The 6,586-nt window shown below is 36.7% G+C and overlaps 1 long non-coding RNA gene across 2 annotated transcripts; it reads left to right on the top strand.

Moving 5' to 3' along the window:
- The first annotated feature begins 316 nt into the window (after positions 1–316).
- On the top strand, positions 317–5,258 carry LOC124900771 (uncharacterized). 2 transcript variants are annotated; one of them, XR_007058260.1, is made up of 2 exons: positions 317–421; positions 4,621–5,258. It is a non-coding gene; the product is annotated as an uncharacterized LOC124900771 (long non-coding RNA). The 2 variants fall into 2 exon arrangements; XR_007058259.1 differs by lacking the exon at positions 317–421 and adding an exon at positions 2,696–4,022.
- Positions 5,259–6,586: the final 1,328 nt, after the last annotated feature.

Here is a 6,586-nt window from a genome sequence, read left to right as displayed (position 1 = left end):
ATTATATGGCTGTCTATCTCTTTTCTTAAGTCTAGTCATACTTTTTGTTATAAATGTAGGTGTTTCAGTGATGGGTGCATATATATTTAATATAGATAAATATTCTTGTTGAATTGAACTGTCTATCCTTATATACTACCTGATATGGTTTGGCTCTGTGTCCCCACCCACATCTAATTTTATAGTCCCCATAATTCCTGTGTGTTGTGGGAAGGACCTGGTGGGAGATGATTGAATTATAGGGGTGGGTATTTCCCATGCTGTTCTCATGATAGTGAAGGGGTCTCATGATATCTGATGGTTTTAAAAACAGGAGTTGCCCTGCACAAGCTCTCTTTGCCTGCCACCATCCATGTAAGATGTGACTTACTTCTCCTTGCCTTCCACCAAGAATGTGAGGCTTCCCCACCCACATGGAACTGTAAGTCCAATTAAACTTCTTTCTTGTGTTAAATGCCCAGTCTCAGGTATGACTTTATCAGCAGCATGAAAACAGACTGATACAGTAAATTGGTACCAGAAGTGCAGTGCTACTGAAAAGATACATGAAAATGTGGAAGTGACTTTGGAACTGGGTAATAAGCAGAGGTTGGAACAGTTTGGAGGTCTCAGAAGAAGAAAGAAAAATGTGGGAAGGTTTGGAACTCCCTAGAAACTTGTTGAATGGCTTTGACCAAAATGCTGATAATGATATGGACAATGAAATCTAGGCTGAGGTGGTTTCAGATGGAGATGAGGAACTTGTTGGGAACTGGAGCAAAGGTGACTCTTGTTATGTTTTAGCAAAGGGACTGGTGGTATTTTGCCCCTGCCCTAGAGATTTGTGGAACTTTGAACTAGAGAGAGATGATTTAGGGTATCTGCCAGAAGAAATTTCTAAGCAACAAAGAATTCAAGAGGTGACTTTGGTGCTACTAAAGGCATTCAGTTTTAAAAGGGAAACAGAGCATAAAAGTTCAGAAAATTTGCAGTCTGACCATTTCATAGAAAAGAAAATCCCATTTTCTGAGGAGAAATTCAAGCCAGCTACAGAAATTTGCATAAGTAAAGAGGAACCAAATGTTAATCACCAAGGCAATGGGGAAAATGTCTCCAGGGTGTGTCAGAGGCCTTCACAGCAGCCCCTCCCATCACAGGCCTGGAGGTATTGGAGGAAAAAATAGCTTTGTGGGCCAGGCCCAGGGTCCCTCTGCTGTCTGCAACCTAGAGACTTGATGGCCTGCATTCCAGTTGCTCCAGCTGTGAATAAAAGGGGCCAAGGTACAGGTTGGGTTGTTGCTTCAGAGGGTGTAAGCCCCAAGCCTTGGCAGCTTCCACCTGGTATTGAGCCTGTGGGTGCACAGAAGTCAAGGATTGAGGTTTGGGCACCTCTGGCTAGATTTCAGAAGATGTATGGAAATGCCTGGATGCCCAGAAAAAAGTTTGCTGCAGAAGCAGGGCCCTTATGGAGGACCTCTGTTAGGGCAGTGCAGAAGGGAAATCTGGGGTCAGAGCCCCCACACAGACTCCCTACTGGGCACCACCTAGTGGAGCTGTGAGAAGAGGGCCACAGTCCTCCAGACCCCAGAAGATAGACCCATATTCAGCTTGCACTGTGCATCTGGAAAAGCCACAGACACTCAACACCAGCCCATGAAAGCAGTCAGAAGGGGGGCTATGCCCTGCAAAGCCACAGGGGTGGAGCTGCCCAAAACCATGCAAACCCACCTCTTACTTTAGTATGACTTGGATGTGAGACATGGAGTCAAAGGAGATCATTTTGGAGCTTCAAGATTTGATTGCCCTGCTGGATTTTGGACTTGCGTGGGGCCTGTAGCTCCTTTGTTTTGGCCAATTTCTCCCATTTGGAATGGCTGTATTTACCCAATACCTGTACCCCCATTGTATGTAGGAAGTAACTAACTTGCTTTTGATTTTACCAGCTCATAGGCGGAAGGAACTTGCTTTGTCTCAGATGAGACTTTGGACTTGGACTTTTGGGTTAATGCTGAAATGAGACTCTGGGGGACTGTTAGGAATGCATGATTGGTTTTGAAATGGGAAGACATGAGATTCTGGAGGGGCCAGGGCAGAATGATATGGTTTGGTTCTGTGTCCTCACCCACATCTCATCTTTTAGCTCCCATAATTCCCATGTGTTGTGGGAGGGACCTGATGAGAGATGATTGATTTATGGGAGCAGGTGTTTCCTGTGCTATTCTCATGATAGCGAATGGGTTGAGGCCAGGTGTAGTGGCTCATGCCTGTAATCCCAGCACTTTGGGAGGCCAATGTGGGTGGATCACAAGGTCAGGAGTTCGAGACCAGCCTGACCAACATAGTGAAACCTTGTCTCCACTAAAAATACAAAAAAAAAAAATAGCTGGGAATGGTGGTGTGGTCCTGTAATCCTGGCTACTCAGGAGGCTGAGGCAGGAGAATTCCTTGAACCTGGGAGGCAGAGGTTGCAGTGAGCTGAGATTGTGCCACTGCACTCCAGCCTAGATGACAGAGTGAGACTCTGCCTCAAAAAAATAAATAATAATAATAATAAAAGATAGTGAATGGGTTTCTCAAGTCTGATGGTTTAAAAATGGGAATTGCCCTGCACAAGGTGTCTTTGCCTGCTGCCATCCACATAAGCTGTGACTTGCTTCTCCTTGCTTTCCACCATGATTGTGCGGCTTCTCTAGTCACGTAGAACTGTAAGTCCAGTTAAACCTTTTTCTTTTATAAATTGCTCAGTCTTAGGTATGTCTTTATTAGCAGTGTGAAAATGGACCAATACACTGCCCTTAATTGTCTTTTTATTCACTGTTACTGGTTTAAAATCTGTTTTATCTGATAAAAGAATAGCAATCCCTGCTCTGTGTTGTTTTCCATTTGCATGATGTATCTTTCTTCACCCCTTTACATTGAGCTTGAGGGTGTCATTACAGATTAGGTGGGTCTCTTGTAGCAGTAGATGATTGGGTCTCTCTTTGTTTTTTTTTTCTTTTTATCCAGTTTGCCAATCTAGATATTTTAAGTGCAGCATTTAGACTATATACATTCAAAGGTAATATTGATATGTGAGGCTTTGATTCTGTCATAGTTTGTTAGGTAGTTACTTTGAATCACCCAATGTCTGCCTTAATATTCACATGGAACTCTCCCTGTGTGCTTGTCTGTCTCCAAATTTCCCCTTTTATAAGGACATGAGTCATATTGAATTAAGAGCCCACCTTACTCAAGCACGACCTCATCTAAACTATTATTATATATAAATATGTCTGCAATTACCCTATTTCCAAATAAGGTCACATTCTAAAGTACTCAGGATTAGGACTGCAACAAACAGATGTTGTGGAGACACAATTCAACACATAAGACTTTGAGACTTTGCTTCCAATATGGAATTGATATCCCAAAACCCATATGAGGTGCCTTCTCTCTGAGACTTTTAGCCTGAATCTACTAATGTGAAGGAGGAGGGTTAGTTGCTACGGTAGATGCTATTTTGCTAATGTTCCATAGAAGTGAAGGCAGTGAGGTTGAGAGTTGAGGGGCTCAGTGGGGAGGATACTGTTGTGGCTGCTCCAGGGATTGCATTTGAATTTTGTCTGGGTTCTTGATGACCTAGATTCCCTTGGTTCCTTCCAATTCTCTTAGCTTTATTTGCCCACATGTCTCCAAATTCTTGAGTTGTTTAATAACTTTCCAGTGAAAGTCCTGTTTGGCTCCAGTTAGCCAGAGTTGGTTTCTGTTGTGTATAAGCAATAAACTTGTCAAGTACACATACTTCATGATATTTTATATCTTTTCAGTTCATCCTATATTAAAAAGTAAGAAAATAATTCAATTGCATAAATCAGGAAATTCTTTAATTAGACCTTTAAAGTTAAACAGCCATTACAATGAACAAATTCCATGTTACTGGAAATAATATGGTTTTGTTTCTAATTGAGTTTAAGGTAACTAACTTCAGTCTGAGCAAATGAGAACTATGGTATGATTAAATTATATATATCATTGAATTCAACTCCAACTGAAGTCATTATCAGGTAACTTCAGGTATAATTACTGTTTTTTCTTCTTATAATTTAAAAAATACTTTCAAGTTTTTTTTGCTTAAAAGTATTTGTCTTCTCATCAATTACTAATTTAAATCCAAGATCCCACATTAAAGTGCAAATACTCAGTATTTTCTTTTATTCAAAAATTTTTATTATAAACAGCAGTTTTATTTTGAAAGATTGAAATGATTGTAAAGCTAACTCGAATAGCTAGGTTATGCAAGAAAGGACTCTTGAACATTCCCTTTTTGATGTCTTCTAAGATTTGGATCCCATTTATTTGTGCTTTGTTCTTGTTTTAGGCCTCTAACTTCAGACTTCAGTTAAGCAGAAACATGGCTTACAGTATTTTAAATTTGTTTCTTCATATTAATAAAAAAGTTATAGAATGTGATAACTAAAAATAAAAAAGAACACATGAAATTTCTACAGTATTTGAAAATAGCATATCTTATTATTTATCTACTATATAATTTTCAGAGATAACTCTAAGTTAATTCAGGCTTATAAGACACATTTACAATTATAATGCAGTTATTCAAAAATTAACTATATTTATGTTAAAACATCTTTTTCTCCCATACAGAAAAGTCATTATTGAAGAATTATGCTACTATTCCTTGCTGAGATGGATGAGGGAAGGAAAAACATAATCTTATTAACTTTTAAAATTATATTTCATTTATGAGGTAAGGAATTTATGAAATGAAACACTAAGCATCATATTTCAGGTAAATTTTGTGATATAAATCAGTTGTATTTATAGATTCAAAGCTAAGCTTGAAAAAAGTCTCAGAAGCTAAGGGGCTGATGACCCTATAAACTGTAAAATGTGTTAACACCAATAAATTCTGGTCCCTCAGTTCAAAGGGCATTTGATTATACGCTGCACTGTCAGTGCTACTCACATCGGAGCTCATCTTGGAATGATAAACAAGGCAGGCCTGTAATGTATACCAGAGAATGACAAGATGCACCTGTCCCTACAAGTTTTGAGACAAAACAGTAGGCACTTGCAGACAGCTGTGTCATCTATGAGAAAGTCTACTCATAGGCTCACCAACAGGCAAGAAGAAACACCCCCAGCCAGTTTAGACTACAACATCACAATGTTTGCATTGGTATATCTTTTATTTCTCTGAGATTATTTTGAATAGAAAACTATGTTGGCTAAAATCTATTAGTAAAATTCCTTTGTATGTAATAAAGGGCTGTTGATCTCTGGTGGCTTTCATTTCTATGCACAACATTTTAAAGTATTTTAATAAGTATTACGTAAATCAATGTTAATAAATGTTCAATTGGCAGAAGAACATGAATTATTATATAATTACCTTTAAATAATTTGCCTTATGGTTTTTCATCAGTATGATTTTTAAACATTCTGAGGGTTTGATTTACATCTCTTTAAGAGGGAAAAATTTTTTGCCTTAATAGAAATTTTTCCAGTCCTGAATGTTTTACTTTGGTCATTTATGCCTAATCACGCATCTCTCACAAAGAACCACCCCAACAAAACAGATAGTTATTTAAAACTTATTACAAGATGATTAATTGAAATACTTTATGGTCAGTTCTTATGTTTAACAGCTGGTACTTGTGCTGGCTTGTTATCAAAGGAATATTTATTGAGCATTTGGTATTACTTATTATTTGGAACATATATAGGAAATTATTCCTGCTTTCTTGTTATGTATATTCTGAAGAAAATCTGTGTAACCTCCTTTGCAGAATATGGTGTTTTGTTTGTTTATTCATATATATTTTATTCTAAAAAATAATTTGAAACAGATTTGACATTCTTGGGGCATTGATTTCTATTTTTTGGTCTGTTTTTTTGTGATTTTGAGAAAATTACAACTAAGACAGAAATTTCTTATTTTAGTCTGAAAAAATGTATCTTGACAATTTTTTTAAGTTAGAAATTTCAGGTTCCATGACCCCATTATATTTTGATAGACATTATTATTTCATTTTAGAGCTTGCAATTTTCATTGAAATTTTCCATTTTGAAATGACGATGGAAAAAACCCATATAACTTACTAATTCATTATTAGGTTTATTACAGGGTCAACTATTCAATACTTTGTGTTTGCATATTTTGTAAAACATAGTATTGAGCTGGATTTTAAATATTTTTGCTATGCTAATTTCTAAAGGAAGGATTTTGAGTCATGAGATGAATTTAATAAATTGCAATTGTTTGGAGAAAGTCTGTGAATCAATTTAATAACTTAATAGTTTTAAAAGTTTTCAATAAAGTTGAAGAAAATCAGTATTTTCTTTAATGCACACTTGAATGTAAGGCACACTTAATATCAAATGTTGTCTTATGCTCAAATAAAATTAAACAAACAGGAAAATTATGAGAATTAGTTTTCCTTTTATATTGGTGTTGACAAATCTAAATAATTACTTACTGCAATCTGTTCTATCTTGATTAACACTGTGGTAGACTATAATTAAAGTAAAATATGTTACAATTTCTACAAATATATTTTATTCTATATCGTGTATTTCTCATAGGAATGCATCTCAATGGACAGTGTTA

This window comes from Homo sapiens, chromosome 4 (genome assembly GCF_000001405.40).
Source record: "Homo sapiens chromosome 4, GRCh38.p14 Primary Assembly".
In the NCBI taxonomy this organism is placed as follows: domain Eukaryota; kingdom Metazoa; phylum Chordata; class Mammalia; order Primates; family Hominidae; genus Homo; species Homo sapiens.
The sequence above is the reverse complement of the archived record's forward strand: the minus strand, read 5'-3'. Positions and strand labels throughout refer to the sequence as shown.